The sequence below is a fragment of the Homo sapiens genome, chromosome 5 (assembly GCF_000001405.40).
Source record: "Homo sapiens chromosome 5, GRCh38.p14 Primary Assembly".
NCBI classification, from domain to species: domain Eukaryota; kingdom Metazoa; phylum Chordata; class Mammalia; order Primates; family Hominidae; genus Homo; species Homo sapiens.
Window position 1 is genome coordinate 114,458,628 of NC_000005.10, and position 16,090 is coordinate 114,474,717.

General features: G+C 38.4%; 1 protein-coding gene and 1 long non-coding RNA gene across 9 annotated transcripts in view; one reads left to right on the forward strand and one right to left on the reverse strand.

The window, feature by feature from the left end:
• KCNN2 (potassium calcium-activated channel subfamily N member 2) overlaps positions 1-16,090 on the forward strand; it is a 440,519-nt gene that overhangs the window by 402,650 nt on the left and 21,779 nt on the right. For all 8 annotated transcript variants that reach the window (NR_174097.1, NR_103458.2, XM_047417166.1 and 5 more), the window contains 2 exons: positions 4,422-4,563; positions 14,427-14,537. Coding sequence is in view for 6 of the 8 variants with exons in the window: in XM_047417166.1 (XP_047273122.1) it covers positions 4,422-4,563; positions 14,427-14,537 (253 nt within the window). In the remaining 2 variants the exon portion in view is untranslated. The remainder of the gene's footprint in view (positions 1-4,421; positions 4,564-14,426; positions 14,538-16,090) is intronic.
• Positions 1-16,090, reverse strand: part of LOC101927078 (uncharacterized) — a 325,996-nt gene that overhangs the window by 11,210 nt on the left and 298,696 nt on the right. The window contains exons 8-11 of the long non-coding RNA NR_130785.1: positions 15,684-15,873; positions 13,562-13,730; positions 11,541-11,618; positions 11,135-11,184 (exon numbers count right to left, since the gene is read on the reverse strand). This is a non-coding gene — a long non-coding RNA (uncharacterized LOC101927078). The remainder of the gene's footprint in view (positions 1-11,134; positions 11,185-11,540; positions 11,619-13,561; positions 13,731-15,683; positions 15,874-16,090) is intronic.

Here is a 16,090-nt window from a genome sequence, read left to right on the forward strand (position 1 = left end):
ATAATTTCGATTCTAAGGGTATGTTAGATGAGTGAATTCCACATTACCTGTCTTATGACCCAAAGTAACGTTTATCAAATGGTGCTAGAGATATCTACAAGATGTTCCTGGGATACAGAGAGGGAACCAGGCTTGGAGTATCATGCTGACCAAAAGCTACAGGGAATCTGGAGAAGGGGACCCACAAACAGATCCTCAGAGTACAAACGAGGGTTAGAGAGAAGGGGGGACGTGTTTCCCAGCAGAAGGAAATACATCTGCAGAGAAAGAGAGCTGTGAAGGATAACAGCATACCTCCCAGCCATTAGTGTGCGGGTGCTGAGGGAGGCAGGAGCGCAGGCCAGAGGCCATCACTCTCTTGGGGAAGAAGGCACTGATTCCTTGGGAAAGATAACTTCTGTGAACTTTGACACACGTTATAGAAAGCTGTCATATTTGTAATCTAAGAAAGAGTGTGAGACCCTTAGTCAGCAATGAATTAAGAAATGAATTAGGAATAGAAACTAAGAAAAGGAACAGTTTGCTTCTTTTAAAACATTAAAGTTGATCTTACAGTCTTTGTCTCTGAAGCATGCAGTTCATGCCAAAACTCCAAAGTCCTCATTTTAAAAGCTTGAGATTATTGGGCATTCCTTGCACTAATTTTAATCTTATTGAATGTGTTTTTATTAAATCAGCATTCATGTTGATCAAAACTTGAAATTTGTACAAATCATTTCTTCATGCCTTTCTCAGAATAGTTCTCCTTGTAGAGAAGGTTGGAATTGTCTAAGTATGTGAAGCGAACTTCTATAAAAAATGTTTTGAAAATTTTTAAACATTGTATTAATCATTCACAGTGATGTGAATCTGTCATAGATTAAAAACCTGGGGATGTTCAAAATGATAATATCATCCTGTGAAAAGTCTAATTTTGTTTCTGAGTTGCTGAAAAACAAAATAGGGGATTATTCTAATAGTATCTAATTTGGTTCCTGATTACCTCATCTTGAATATTCACAATCATGTATGTCTGAGTGCAACATAAACATTAGTATGAGATGTCATTTTTCTATTCTGAGCTATTTTTAGGGCAGGTTTATTATTTTGTAAGCAAAAAGGATAATTTATCATTGAATCCCAAGCCCTAAAATGCCAACTCCTAGAAAGATGCATGTTTCTATTTAAAGCTCTTCAATACAGGATGACAATCTCTGATGCAATGTAATGCGAACAGCATATAGTAAATATTAATTGAGTGATTTAATGATGTATTTCCTGAGAGTATTTGGCAAATAAGGATGGAAGAAATTTGTCTATCTAAGATTTGAGCATTTGTTAAAGGTAAGCGTCTAATGAGTTAGCTTGCCTAAATGTTCCAGTGTATGCTTTTCATTGCAGTTTTCAGTCATTTACTGCCCCCAACTCTGAAAAACATTTTTAATAAAAAGTGCTGCAGGAGCAGGAGATTAGAAAGACCTTCACACCCATGCCAAAGTTGAAATTTCCCTGCAGGCAACGGCCATGAAGGTACCCCCTAGAAATCTTTGTTTATCGTATGAAATCTCTTACTTCTCTTCGTAGTTACCTGCTCTGTGAAAACCACATGCCTAGGAAGGTTGTTTTTTTGTTTGTTTGTTTGTTGTTTTTTGACAAGGAGTCTCACTCTGTCATCCAGGCTGGAGTGCAGTGGCAGTGCAGTCTTGGCTCACTGCAACCTCTGCCTCCCAGGTTCAAGTGATTCCCCTCCCTCAGCCTCCCAAGTAGGTGGGACTATCGGCTTACACTACCATACCTGGCTAACTTTTGCATTTTTAGTAGAGATGGGGTTTCACTGTGTTGGCCCAAGCTGGTCCCGAACTCCTGACCTCAGGAGATCCACCTACTTTGGTCTCCCAAAGTGGTAGGATTCCAGGTGTGAGCCACCACACCTGGCTGGCCTAGCTAGTTATTAATAATAGTGTTCTGGTCACTCACTGTGGCAGTGAAAAAACAACTTGAAGATTTCACTGGGACCCAGGCACATTTTCTAAGTGTCTAGAAACTAAGTATCTAAGGACACTTTGCTGATATAGAGACAGTCAAGAATATAACTGTTTCAGCCAAAGATTGTCCATGCATTACAACATACGTCAAATTAGAAAATGCAAGTTAAGTTCTCTGAGTACATAGTGAACACTCAGTAAGTATGGTATGTACATACATATGCATCATGGAACCAGAGCCATTAGCTCTTAAGTGTATCACATCAGTGTATGAATTGTGCTAAGAAGCAGCTTTGTCTCACAATTAAAAACTGAATAGGAAATGAACTCTTTTGCCTCCCCTCTCTTTACAGACCATTCTTACGATAGGGTAATGTATTTCCTGTTTTAGGAAATTGCTTGGTGAGGAATACTTACTAGAGAGCCCCAATATTATTAATAGATTATAATCCAGAGTTTATTTCTAGGGGTTTTATTTTGAAAGGAAAACCACGTCCTCCCATTGAAGCTCTGTTACATACGCATAGCAGGCTCCCAGAGCAGTCCACAGAATCCTGCTTAGCTCATATTGTGGCTGAGCATAGCACTGATCACATAGCATCTTCCTAGGTATATATTAGGTAACAAAGATTCTCAGGGGAAATGCACTCAGCTGCCTTCCTGGAATGCTAGGAATACATATGACTTTCCTTTTGACAATGACAGCCTCTACACCAAGACCTTCTGGGGAGAGGGGACTTTACAGCTAGGTCATGGAGGTTGTTTAGGGGTGAGGAACGGTGGTGATTTCTGCACCTCTGCCACAGAAACTTGCAGGATGCTCCTAATCAGGCTGGCTGCCTGTTCACATGCCCTTCCCTTTGATTCCAGGAGATCAGTGATTGCCCTTTCTCTGGGGTTCCACTCACTCCAGCCCGGAGCCTGTTTCCTTAGTCCACAGTAGCAGGAAACAGAATTTCTTAGCTTCTCTATTCTTTGGAAGAAGGCAAAGGGACAAATGTGATAAGAATGGGTCTCTTGTATGTCCAAAGATAGAGTGTAAGATCTGCTGATATTGTGGAGAAAAGCTTATACCCTGTAAGATAAATCTGCATTTTTTATTTTTGAAGCAGGAAGCTTGGCATGGGATGAGGGACAGGAAAAAAAAAAAAAGCATAGCGAATGCCATGGTCCAGTGTAGGTTGCATATAGGGCTAATCCTGGGGCTCTGGCTAGGAGCAGCCTCCTTGCCACCACAGCCCTGGCAGCACAGACACAGATGGGGAATTGAGTTGAAAGGCAGGACTGAGTGAGCGAAGCAGGAGATGATGAGTACCGCGCAATTATCAGTATATTTTGCAGAGCAAGAAATGAGGAAAGGAAAGCCCTCTGAGTGGTATCTGAGAGATGGGAAGGAGTGATGGTCCTTTCCAATGGTGGGTGAAAAGTAAGGAAGTCTTCTAGTGACCAGAGTCTGGGGCCTGACTGTCATAGAAACCAGAGCAGGGCCTCTCTGCCCCATGACCACACAGAATGTGCATCTAGAGCAAATTCTTCTAGGGTGACAACTCTGATGGCCTTGCTGTTGTATGCATACATGCTGTTGTATAAAACCAGTGTCCACATCACGGGCACAGAGGGTTACTGTTTCGTACTGTTAATTCAACCGAAGTGTGATAGGATACCTGTTTCTGATATAAAAGCTTTCTTCCTTACCAGTAAAATTTGACACCTCAAAGAATGATTAGGATACTTTGTATCCCTCTCCCTCTTTTCGACTGTAAGTTCTTTGTGTATAACTGGTAAGACAACTTCTATTAAGCTCTGGTTATGGGCAGGGACTCTGTGATCAGAGGTACAGTTTCTGTGTTCAAGGATGAAGGACATCCAGGTAGATTGACCTATTATAATATGGTCCCATGATCTAGGGATGTGCCCGATACTCAGGGAGCACAGGGGAAGCACTGAGGGGAAGAGAAGACAGAAAAGGCTCCCACTTGAACTTACTTTGAAGGATGAAGAGGTGTTAGCCCATCGTCAGGAAATCGAGGTAGCAAAGGCCAGTCCAAGCAAAGGGAACATCATAATTCATTTTGGTTACAAAGGTGTGGAGTGAGATTGGGCAGCTGCATATTGTCTCTTAAGTCTGGCACATCAGCTAGGCAAGGAGTGACGAGACACGGGCAGGGGCCGGAGGAGTCTACAAAGATAAATGTGCCTGTATCATCTTACACCAGTGAGGAAATCTGTTTTATATTTTACAGTCTCTTTCAGATGATATATAAAGTTGAGGCACTTTCTGATGTCGTGGATTGCTTAGATGGAACCTCAATTTTGTTTATATTCACAAGCTTTGAAAACTTCTAAATATAGCAGTTTATAGAAGATACAGTAAATTCGTTGAATTGAACCAAACCACACTTAACTATCATATTGGAGATTAATTATAAAGGACTGGTTTTGTTTGCTGTTTTTCAGGTACCATGATCAACAGGATGTTACTAGCAACTTCCTTGGAGCGATGTGGTTGATATCAATAACTTTTCTCTCCATTGGTTATGGTGACATGGTACCTAACACATACTGTGGAAAAGGAGTCTGCTTACTTACTGGAATTATGGTAAGTGTCTTTATACTTCACATCTCTTTTATTTACGCTCAAGAAGGCACTTAAACCACTCAGTCCACGTGCATAAGTAATTGTGAGCTACTTCTTTTCCCATCAGCAGGAAATCAGTATAAATAAATCAATTTTGTGTTGAGAGAGAATGTCAACAGTTTTCCTCTTAATTCTTCTCATCATGAAATTCTGTTGAAGAGGTAGAGCTGTTTGATTGCCCCTTGTGGGGCATGCACTAATTTGATAAACTAATTTGATCTTGGAGCTTTGGCTTCAGAATCAGGAAGTCCTTTAAGACTGTGTCCTCCCATCTCCTACTAGCTGTGCAAATTTGAGTAAATTGTAAAATATAGCCCATAATAACTATCTTGAAATGTGTTGAAGGGTAGAAGATATATTAATTATAATATTTATTTTTCTTTCTTTTAACAAATGTTTGTTGAGTGCTAGGCACTGGCCTAGGTACTAGGAATACATCAAAAGAAGATAGAAACTTACTGCCCTGCCTTCATGGAGCTTACAAGGGAAGACTTGCATTTTAAAAATAATAAATAATGGTTCATTACATTTGTGAACTAGTAAAGCTTCTGACCTGTTTTGGGCCTGGGGGAGAGGGATGGGATCTACTCAGAGAAATCATCACTAGAAAATTGATTTTTACGCTGAAGTGAGAAGGGTCCATACCCAGGAAGGGAAGTAGGGAGAGCATTCCAGGAAGAGGAAATGGTGTATTTGAAGGCAATGAGGCAAGAAGGAGCTCAGTACAGTGGAGCCAGGTCATTGGGCCAGGAGTACACAGAGCAAAAGGGGAGAGCGGCCTGGCATGAGGCAGGGACAGGAGGCCACGTCTTGTGGAGCACTTGGGAAAGGTCTGCTACTGACATGCCATCGTTCTTCTGGCATGCCTCATAGGCTCAGACATCTTTTTTGCCCCTCCACACATGACTAGCCAGGACCACTTTTTTGCTCCATTTGTTTTTTAGGTATAGGAAATGGGAGGCTAGCAAGCTGTGATTATAATGTGGTATGAACTTCTAAATATTTAAGCCAGAGGTAGTTTCAAATTGTTGATGCACAGTTTTCAATGACCTAGGCTTGTCTGCATTCTTTATCTACTTTTTAAAGTTTGCTTACAGCAAAGAGTGTCATCTTGATCCTTGTGTGGTTTCTGTCTACATGAGGATGTGAACGAGTACTGCAGGTTCCAAATTGTCAGAATTTCTGAAATCAGGTACCCTGTTCAACACCTCTAACTGTATTCACCCACAGGCTGGTAGGAGAGAGCAGAGGGTTGTCATTTGAGGGCCTCTGAGTGGTGGCCAGTGGAGGGTGCACACCTTTGCAGAAGCTGCCTGGGAAGACTGCTCCAAGAGTCACAGCTAAGTGGAAGGAGAGCGTGCCCTTGGCATAGACAGGCAACATCCTTCTCCCCCCTCGGTAGTGTTCAACTGGGATAAGGCAGCTAACTTTGAAAATAAGAATCCAGGGTCAATTTTAATGTCCCAGTAGTAACAAGATGGCCATTTCAAGTCCCAATTGTAGAAAATATAGTTTGGGGGCATAATTTAACATTATTTGCCTTTAAAAGAAAAATAATAGTTTTAATTATAGTGAACTTTAAAAAAAAAAACGGTATGCTGCATTATCTGTTTGTTTACTATTGGATCACTTCCCCTTTTTTCCTCAAATAATAGCATTTTATTATGTGGTATAATGCTTTGGGAAATGTAATTTGCATAGATTATTTTTAGGAGGCCCATAACAAGTCCACAAGGGATATAAATGATGCTATTTATAAAAACTAGTAATTGCAGAGTCTTTCCCCTAGTGCTTCTTAGAAACAACTTCCTTAGTGTTACTTTTTGTCAAGATGGTACCCTCTTTTATTCTCCAATCAGGTGTGACTCAAGGGTCATGTGCACAGGCTTATTTGCCATGGAATCTGAGCCAAATTTGAGGTTAACCTTGCCTGGGTTTTACAAAATGTTTATCGTTCCTTGATATTTTCTTGTTCCTCGTGTCTCAAAAACTGTTCCTTCAAAGTCTCATCAGATAGTACAAATCTTTTATTTACCTTCTTGAACTGCCTCTTGCTCAGGTTTCACTACTGATCTTACTTTGCTTAAAAAAGAGAGGTTATGGCCTGGCACTGTGTCCCACGCCTGTAATCCCAACACTTTGGGAGGCCGAGGCAGGTGGATCACCTGAGGTTGGGAGTTCGAGACCAACCTGACCAACATGGAGAAACCCCCTCTCTACTAAAAATACAGAATTAGCCAGGTGTGGTGGCACATGCCTATAATCCCAGCTATTCAGGAGGCTGAGGCAGGAGAATCTCTTGAACGTGGGAGGCGGAGGTTGCAGTGAGCCGAGATTGCGCCATGGCACTCTAGCCTGGGCAACAAGAGTGAAACTCCATCATCTCAAAAAAAAAAAAAGAGAGAGGTTATAGTACCATTAAATATATGTGGACACAAAAATGTTATATGTAATGGAATTTATGGTGACTTCGTTCCAGCCCTTAAGCTTATGGTAAAAGAGTCCCTCTATTCTTAGGCTGAGGAGCTCCATTCCCTCTCCTTCATAAGGATCAGACTTATTTCCTAATTAATTGACTTGATCAAAATTGGTTTACTTGCATACAGAGAAATTCACTAATATTTGAGTAACATATTTGAGATGCTCTGTAGAGTTGGATTATCTCTTCTTCTAGACTAAGCAGATTCCCATGGAGTCAGGCTACGGGGCAGTCTTCCTGGGATTCACTTCTGGCAGTTGATTACATCTTACATCAGCTCCTTAGGGATCAAGAGCATATGGATGAAAGTGACCTAGACACTCCTATGGAGAATGTAGAAATTTCTTCATTACCAAGACCAATATGGGAATTAAAGCTTAAGAGACCAAGATCTCTTATTATTATTTTTATAAAATAAGTCATGAGATTGCCTAATAGAAGAAATAAAAGAAAACCACTCACTACCCTTCAAGAGAAAACCATTATGGTTGTAATTACTTATTTTCTCTTTTTATTCTTCTACCCTTCTGCTATTTGAGGAAGTACTGAAGACCTGAGGGTTTACTATTGTAAAGGTCATGATAAACAATGGGATGATTTCTGAGTAGCTTTGTACTTTTGGTTGAAGATGGTAGGCAAGTAATATGGTTAGATCACAGTGTCTATCAGCTTTTGGACAGCACCAGCTAGTTTCTCAATGTCTCCAATTTTCCAATAAAGTAATTGTTTTACTTAGCATTTACAAAGTTATTTTATCTTCCTAGAAATATATATATATATATATAAAACACATCCTGAAAGCTATGAATTCTCCCACAACTATGAATATATATGATTGTTTCAAGAGTGAAAAATAGCCTTGTGGGTAAGGGTATCTTTCATCTTATACTGGAATTAAGGTTGCTCATTTGTTCTTTTTGCTTCTCTATTTCTGTAAAATTACAGTGACTCTTGGTGGCCTTTTGACTAGAGTATGGATGACTGGATTTTTTGGTTTAATTATCTTTAAATATCGAGTAATATCTGTTCATTCCTAGGGATGCAGGTTGTTATTCAATAAATGGTTCTCTAATAGTGATTTATAAACCACTAGACTTTGACAACATCTAGCATGACTCCCTCAACAAAACTGAGGACACTTCAGATATCAGTGATTTAGGTTTCTTCCATCCCACTAGTAGTTCTATGTAAACAAAAGCAATGCGTAAAGCTTTCGCAGTTCATAGCAATTTGAAAATCACTACGCTAATTAAATTTTAAAATTTTCTTCAAGGAGCAAAAAAACAAGTCAGTTCAGGACAGAAGCCTTTACACAGCCTTGCCTTTTCCTTAAGATTTGATAATAATCCTTTCCACGTTAAATTTGCCCTGTGCCGAGGAAATCTTAATTTAACATCACATGGTGACTCCATTAGTTGTCAGTTAAACAAACAGTTTGCATCCTGAAGAGCAAAAACACTACCCTGTTAAGTCGCTAAGAGGGTGTTCCAAAACAGCACGAATTAGCTAGAGCTCATAAAAAAGAAGTGATTGGTATGAAAGAATGCGAAACCTAAGGTCTGATTATACTCCTCTTCCTGTAACACTCTCTGTTTCCATTTGAGGATTTGTTTTCCCCCGCCAGTGTACATAGAAATCCTGCAAAACTGATCTGAAGCCATTCCTTAGTGTTGAATGTTTGAGAATGTGCAAAACACTCAAGGATTTTTAAAAATGTCTTACACAATTTGACATTGGGTGTTTAATTTTGAAGAGGTTTTAACTTTTGTATTGCTTGCTTTTTGGTTCTTTCTGGTGCGTTCACTGAATCTCATCAGATAAAGCCCCAGTGAAGAGAGTATATCTTTAAGTTCTTACATACAATAGTTTCTATTTTGTGCAGAGCAGCTGGAGGAGATGGGCCTTTTCAGTCATAAGGCTAAATTCCCCACCAATGTCCTTTCTTGAGGACCTTCACTTCCCACCAAGAAATTTCATAAGTGGATCGCAAAAAAATGTCTTAAATATGACAGCTGCCGTCTTCCGGGTACAGGAAAGTATAGGTGGAAGTTGTTGTGACCTTTTAGCACACAGCTCATGGACTCCACAATTTCACCCAATTTTTCTAAACTATCAGCACTTTTAATTGGCAGAGCTGCCCTTCCTATCTCTGAAGTACCTGCACTCACACTGGCACTGTTGCTAATCAGGAGATTTAAACCGAGGGATGATTCATTGTTGATGACCAGTTTTATGAGGTACTTCCTTCTTTCTGACCCTAAAAGTAGAAGAATGACCTGAACAAGCAAATCACTATAAAGGAGGCTCGGGTTGCCCAGGCCCAGGCTTAATAACTGGGCTCAAACACCACACACTCTCCCCTCTTTTCTTACAATGAGGACATTTGAAATTGACCTCCACCCTTAGTAGCAAATATCAACTTGTATTTGAAGACACTTAGAGGGCATTTTTGATAGAATTTGTCATCAAAACTTCCTTGAAACTTATTTATTTTCATGACCTGAGGAAACCTTGTAAAACTCCAATGGGATATAATATTAAAGCAGAGTGCTTTATAAAATGTTACTTGCCAGAATTGATTGTTTCACATGTTTTTATGAAAGAATAATTATTTATGTCAGTCAAGTATAGTAAAAATGTTTTTATGGTTCTGGCACATTGAGTCAGTCAGCCCCAGGGACAGAAAAACAGGCAATGTGTTCAAGTATTTGTTTTACCTTCCTTTTGGAGGGCAAGCTGATTTGTGAAAGATCTTAAAGCTGTTTTATTTTTACATAAAAGCGTGATTTTTTTTCAAGTTAACTATTTTGGATAAATTTTAATTATAGGCTAATAGTCTATTTAGTCTAATAAACTGGCTGTCAAACTGAATTTTGAACTTTGAGGAGCAGGAGCTATTATAAATCCCACAGGAGGATACTTTAAGCCTAGAATATTTTGAACATTAGTGTTTTTTATCAGAGCCATTCTCTGTAGCAGTAAAAATTCTGGAATTTGTTTAAAAAGTATAAATTTCATTATTATGTTGAATCTTTTGAAGATGTCTTTTTCACAGTTGAAATAATCAAAACCTTTCCACAGTGTGTTATGTGAAGGAATTTCTCTTTTTCATAGGCTTGTATCCTTGTTATTAAAGCTTGATCCCAAAATGGTTTTTCAAAATGATTCTTGGAAGTATTTGCAGGATCAGCATAAGTAGATGATTTAGGGCAAAAATGTGTCACATTTTAATTTTTCAAATATTATGTGATACATGCTTTTGAGGGAAATGGGATACCTGAACTTCTTTTACATCCAAGGGCTCAACATGGCTTACAGTTTCTGCGCTATAATGGAGAAGAATACAGTGGAGAAAAACACTACATTTTAATTTTAACTTGGCAGCATCTAAGACTATCCACGTGTTGGGATTTCCCTAGAGGTACATAGGTAATAGTAACTAATTGTCATTTGTCTGTTCAGTTTAATCTGGCTTGGCTTAGGGTAGTAAACGTTAACAACACTTGTCATTACTTACCTTTTCTAAAGCAAAGTCCTTCTCCCTCTGCCCCCCTTAACTTATCCCTTTTTCTCTCTTTCACCATCTTCTCTGTTAGAAGGAAAGATGATAAACAAGCCAAGCGAAACCTGAACCTTTGCTTTTAATATATTGACTTCCTAAATACACTGTATTTTCTTCATTTTGTTTTTAAATGCCCAAGCATCTTGAAGTGACAGGTTAGTGATTTTGCTTAAGTTTTTTCTAAGAAGATAAATGAAATGAGAGAAAAGTAACCAGGATACATTTTCTGACTTTGGTGAAAGGAATATGACTCATCTTGTTAAATGCATACAGGGATCTTAATTTCAGAGAGTAACATATGTTAGTCCCAACTGTTTCTACATCGATTGTGGTGGTGACAAGCTTTGGAGAAAATGTTGTAAAATCGTACTTATTTCCATTCTTATTCACTTTATGAAACGGAATCGTCCTGGAAATAGACACTGGGTGGACAATAATATTATGCCATTACTTAAATTACTATAACCATGAATATGTTGGCAGGAATTTACCTTGAACCTAGAAAGCTTTCGGAAGTGAGCCAGCTTCATCTTGCATAACTCTAAAAATTAAAAAATAAAGGTTACTTTCATCAGATTCTCTTACGATTTATTAATCTAGGGAAGTATAAGTTTATGGTTTTCTTCACTAAAATAAACAGTTAAGGGGTTTGTATTTGAACAAAAAGGTTTCTAAGTGGCTCTGGAGGTATAACTTAAAGGAGTAGTGTTAGGATAATGGAGTGAGGTATATAGATAATAGTTTTGATAATTACTAAATGATTGGATTAATTTCTTTTCCACTTTGCAACAGAGGTACTCATTTTTAATGCATGTCTTAGATGACACCCGGTGAGAAATGGGCCAGTAGCAGAAAAGAATGGAGCCTGAGAATAAACACAAATAAAAATCCACTTTCCAAGGCTCTTGATTCCAGTGATTTTCCACTCCTGTTAGGATTTTGATTTCTTTCCAGAAAGATCTCAGCAGAGGCCACCTGCCAGGGGAGAACAATATTCAACTTTTTATGCCAACTACCCTCTCATAGCTGTCTCTGCAGTAGTTAGGAACCCCTCAGGTTTTTATGACCTCTGCTTATTAAAGAATCATTGCTGCCCTGAACCACCAAGTTCCTGTAGAACCCAGTGATTGAGGAGTAGTACCTAGGAGCATATCTACAAAAGGCTAGCCTGTGTTTGTCGAGCATACGCTATACCATACAGCAGGTAGCTTTATGGTGGTTATCATAGGTGGTCACTGATTTGGTTTCATCAGCCTGCTAGAACTCTTTCTTTAGACTTCATGGTAGATGTTTGAAAGTCAGTAAAATGGGTAGAGATGCTTCCAAAGGCCATTCTTTTCTTTCATTAGTACCCAGATCTAAAATACCTCGCTTTCATTGTCTGCATATGGCACAAAATATCAAAATAACATCACACCCTCTGCCTTTACTTTCCTTGTTTATCGTGTCTTCATAAGTCAGTCAAATGACTCTTATAAGAATTTTGACCCTCTTGTTTTAATAGGTTTATGGAGTTTGTCATAGTCACTGCATATCCTCCTTTATCTAAAGCAGTGACTATACCTTGGGATCACCTGGAGAGCTTTTAAAAAATTTCAGACACCTGGGTTTTATCCCTGGAGATGAAGATTTGCTGTGAGGCACACAGCTCTCAGCACTAGGATTTTTACAAACTCTCCAAGTGATTCTATAGTCAAGGTTAAAAACTACCAATTTAAAAGTTATACCAGTTACACAATAGGGACAATGTTGATTATTTTGATAATCATATTGCTTGATTTTTAGACATTCATACTTTATCATATAAAATAGGTGAATTTGAATTTCCTGTCTTGCTTTGAAATACAGTGCTTCATAATGCATTATGGCTATGGAATAATCACAAATAAGAATATACAGTCATCCCTTAGTATCCATGGGGGTTCAGTTCCAGAACCCCACTTCCTGCCATGAATACCAAAATTCACGGATGCTCAAGTCCTTTATAAAATAGTGTATTACTTGCATGTAACCTAGGTACATCCTCCTGTGTACTTTAATCTCTAGATTACTTATAATACTTTTAATACAATATAAATGCTCTGCAAATAGTTGCTAAACAGTATTGTTATTGTTTAAAGAATAATTACAAAAGAAAACGGTCTATAATGTTCAGTACAGGTGCAGCCATCCATTTTTTTACTGAAATATTTTCAATCCAGTTGAATTCATGTATACGGAACCCATGGATATAGAGATTCAAGTGTATGTGATCCTAAATATAGATATAGATATTATGAGATGAAGTAAAGAGTAGGAAAAATATCAATGCTAATCAAAGTTTATAACTGAATAATCATTTACTCTGCTTTAGTTGTCTCATCTCTAAAATCAGAAGGCTAAATCAGAATGTCTAAATACTTGGCAACCTCTTTCTCTGATCATGTGATCAGTAGCACTTTCTTTCTGAGGATACTGATTTCTTCATAGAACTAGATGGAACAGGCTATTTAAGCCCTCTGGAAATATATTAAAGCAGTATTGGCTCATCATTGTGGCAATGTTTCCATGATCATAATGATCAGGTCGTGTATTTATTTTCTCCTTTTCTCCTCAATCGTGTCCCTCCTGCCAGATTTGTTGCAGCAACTCATTGAGTAAGCCCAAAGATGGATTCTTTGGTCTATAACTGAATAGCTAAATCACATCTACTTTCTGTGCCTCTGTCTAGCGGACTCTGCCTGTGCCCTGCCATTTACATTGTTATCTGTTTGTTGAGACTAGCTGGGCAATGTCTATGGTTCTGTGGTCCTCTCAGGGTTGAGATTCTATCTGGAGGTGTGACTTCCCTTTCACAGACCCCTGAGGTAGTTCCTCACATGCCCCCTTCCCTGCTGGGAGGTTGGCTGTGCCCAGGACTGATGAATTGGCTGCAGCACCTTGACCTTGCCTGGACCCTCCAATCGGTGCCCCAGCAAGTAGTTGCTCGTCTTTCAGCACAGAAGACTCTCACAACTTGGAATGAGCACACCTTGATCACGGAGCGGGAGGACTGTAATTCTTAGAGTACCACACAGAGTCTCTTTTTCAAGAGATCAGAACAATGGTCTGTAATTCAAAAAGGAACACTGTTGGTTTTTTCAAAATGAAGATGACCCGTGCCTTTCCTAGTGTCATGTTAGTAAACCTGTAAAATGGTATAATGGTTACCCCTTACCTTCAGTACTTCATCTATCTCTGTTGCCCAGGTTAAGATCACTGTGATCTTCCTGTTACGCTTCCTCTTGTGTGTGTGGAACACTGAAGCAGTGTATATGCTGAGATAATTTATTGTTTTTATTCCTGGTGCATTGCAGTTGATCACCTTGAAGGCCTGCTGATCTCATCTTAAGATTAGAGGTTTATTCTGTATGGAAAAATCCTTATTTCTACCCCATATACATTTATGCTAATCTACTCATTTGTTATTTGTTCCTATTATAATTATAGGTATATAACTGACTTGCTCTGTTTTTTAAAAAGTCTCCAAAAATTCACCAAGTTGCTTTTAGGCCATTTATTTCTTAGAATGGAAATGTTTTTTCCAAATATGCTTTTGTTCTTAAAATATGTAAACTAAATTTTTAATCCCAGTTTAAGGCACATTGCTTACATGTGTTGATCACACATTTTCTGTAATACTTATTGAAGACAATGTTTTTAATCCTGAGAAACTTTTGCATTTGATGCAAAACATTTTCTAATGTGTCTGAGACAGAAAGTAGTTAGTAATGCTTTGGGTTTCTCTTCTCTCCTTGTTTTCAGGGTGCTGGTTGCACAGCCCTGGTGGTAGCTGTAGTGGCAAGGAAGCTAGAACTTACCAAAGCAGAAAAACACGTGCACAATTTCATGATGGATACTCAGCTGACTAAAAGAGTAAGTTACTATCCATATATCTTCAAAGAGAATATTATTGTGATTTTTTCAGTGTTAGGAAATATGGTTTTTATTTTGACATCCGAAGCTGAAATGACATGGTTTGAAAGTATAGGCATTCTTGGAATCACTTCCATTTTATCACATTTTGAGAATAGACTATTTCTACCTTGAGGTCAGTTAGGAAGTAATTGGGCAGTCTTGGTATTTGGATAAAGACGAGTCACATAAATGTTAGGTATGCCTACTTGTTTAGATTTCAGTATAGTATATGAGGCCAATTCTTGGATTGAGTAGGAAGGAAAATACTATTAATGTAAAATAGTAATTTGATGGAAACGTGATTGAAAATGTTTTACTGAACTTCTAAGATCAAGTCACTGTTCTCAAGACAGGGTTGCAAAGACAAAAGAAACCACCACTAACTTTTAGAAGCCCAAGATAGGGCCAGAAACAGGCTCTTTCCTTGACTTACAGGCCATAAAAGAGATGTTAAAAATAGTATACCATCCAGTTGGGCAATCGCTGTCCAAATATTAGCAGAAGAAAACAGTAATCACAATGTTTAAGAGCACTTTCTGTGCCAGGCACTGTTCCAAGTGTGCCATGTGTATAAACTCACTTCATCCTCATAACAGCGTTATGAGGGAAGTGCTATTATTCTGGCCATTTTATAAATGTGGAAACTAAGACACAAAGGGGTTAGGTAACTTGCTCAAAGTCACCAGATCCAGGTAGAAAACTGCAAGAAGAGAAAGGTTTTTATTAGACTAAATTTTTAGCCTTTCTTGATAGTCACTTGAGACAAATACCAAAGTCAAAAAATTATTTTATAGTAGAGTCATCTTGCTGTGTAACTACTGCTCAATGTGGAATGCAATCAGGCTGTCAGTGAAATAACAAAATACATTGTCAACTTGGTAACTTTACCCATAAATGAATCAATAGATATTTCAAGCATAGTTCCAACTTCCAGTAGTGTTTTCACTCACTCTTGATTTTGGTTGTATATTTAAAAGTAATCTTGTTTAATTTGGTTGATACTTCCTAACAGGCCAGTCATTTTAATGCAAATATATATTTATATAGATTATACTTAGGAAATGAAAACATGAATTGCTATTGCCTGCTCATGCTAAGTCTTACCTATCAGACAGTCCTGTGATACTTCATTGCAGTTAGTAGGTCCACGTTTATAGTAGATGGTCAGAGCCTCCCAGGTTCAGATGCTACATTTTCAGCCTACATTTACCACTTTGGAATGTCTTCTACTCTCCATGACTTACTCTCATTTTCTTCAAACTCCTAAATTTGTTCTCAAAACTTGTGAACATCCCTGTATGAGAGTGTGCAGGGAAAAAGGTCAATGAGGAGCTGAATAAAGGCTTGGGTTTCTTTTACTTTTTAAAGATCTACTAGAGATAAAAATATGTGCATATGAGATTAGACTACATCTAATCCATAAATTGGAGCAGATGTTTTGTGTATTTCATCATGTGCATGTTTGGTCCTTTCAGGGCTCTATGCTGGGACAATTTGTGTTTAAGAGTCAC